We start from the raw sequence: 1,472 nt of genomic DNA, 5'->3' as shown, positions 1-1,472 counted from the left end.
GTGGTTGAGTTGCAATAACAAAATTCCTTTTTAAAAATATCTTTCTATTCTTAAAATGACGCCTTTTCCGGCCAGGTGCAGTGGCTCATGCCTGTAATCCTAGCTCTTCGGGAGGCTGCGGCAGGCGGATCACTTGAGGTCAGGAGTCCGAGGCCAGCCTGGCCAACATGGTAAAACCCCATCTCTACTAAAAATACAAAAATTAGCTGGGCGTGGTGGTGTGTGCCTGTAATCCCAGCTACTAGGGAGGCTGAGGCAGGAGAATCTCTTGAACCCGGGAGGTGGAGATTGCAGTGAGCCACGATCACACCACTGCTCTCCAGCGTGGGGGACAAGAGGGAAACTCCATCTCAAGGAAAAAAAAAAAAAAGTGAGGACTTTAGTGCTGAGGCCAGGACTCAACATAACTGGCCTGCTGGTGCAGGCAGAAGCAGGGACAGTAGAATCTCTTCTTTTGATTTCCTAACAGCTTGGAGTCCCTAAATCCAGATCAGCCTCTCCTGCTATGTGCCTTTGGTGCCCAGTGAATATGTTGTGATGGGGGCAGTGGCAGTCAAGGATGCGTGTGTATGGGAGCGGGAGATGAAGACAAGTGGGAAAAGAAAAGGTGTAACACCGGCCAGGCGTGGTGGCTCACGCCTGTAATCCCAGCACTTTGGGAGGCCGAGGCGGGCGGATCACGAGGTCAGGAGATCGAGACCATCCCGGCTAATATGGTGAAACCCCGTCTCTACTAAAAATACAAAAAAATTATCCAGGCTTGGTGGCAGGTGCCTGTAGTCCCAGCTACTCAGGCAGCTGAGGCAGGAGAATCACGTGAACCCGGGAGGTGGAGGTTGCAGTGAGCCAAGACCACTGCATTCCAGCCTGGGTGACAGAGCGAGACTCCATCCCAAAAGAAAAAGAAAAGGAAAAAAAAAGGCATAATGCTTGTTGAGGCTGGCTATGTTTGGGCGCTCACTGCACCTGTGTGCAAGTGATCTCATTTCATCTGCCCGACAGCCTCAAGAGCGAGCCTCGCCACTGCTGTCATTGAGCAGATGAGAAAACAAGGTTCAGGATCAAGGGTTAGCAGACTTTTTCTGTAAAGAGCCTAAAGTTAAACAGCTTAGGCTTGGCAGGCTGTATAGTCTCTGTTGCAACTACTCAACTCTGTCCTTGTCACATGAAAAGGTGCCATAGACAATGTGTAAACAAATGGACATGACCATGTTCCAATAAAACTTTATTTACAAAAACAGGCAGTGGGCCGGATTTGGTGCACAGATGCTCAGGATGATTAACTTGCCGTGTAGAGGTCTAATAGATGAAACGTCATGGTGGATAAGGACATGGGGGTTGGAGCTTGGATAAGGACATGGGGGATAAGGACATGGGGGTTGGATCCCATCTCCCCAGCTTACCAGCTGACCCTGCACAGATTTCATAACTGCTTTGTGCCTCAGTCTTCTCATCTGCAGAATGGGGATGAG

General features: G+C 49.7%; 1 annotated feature.

Moving 5' to 3' along the window:
- Window positions 959-1,253: a silencer, noted in NCBI's record as "tiled region #3841; K562 Repressive non-DNase unmatched - State 20:ReprD". NCBI's record gives its function as "represses a minimal TATA promoter and a strong SV40 promoter by Sharpr-MPRA in K562 cells {active_cell/tissue: K562}" and the evidence as "EXISTENCE:reporter gene assay evidence [ECO:0000049][PMID:27701403]".

Source organism: Homo sapiens, chromosome 1, assembly GCF_000001405.40.
Source record: "Homo sapiens chromosome 1, GRCh38.p14 Primary Assembly".
Taxonomy (NCBI): Eukaryota; Metazoa; Chordata; class Mammalia; order Primates; family Hominidae; genus Homo; species Homo sapiens.
This window is presented reverse-complemented; position numbering and strand designations above follow the sequence as displayed.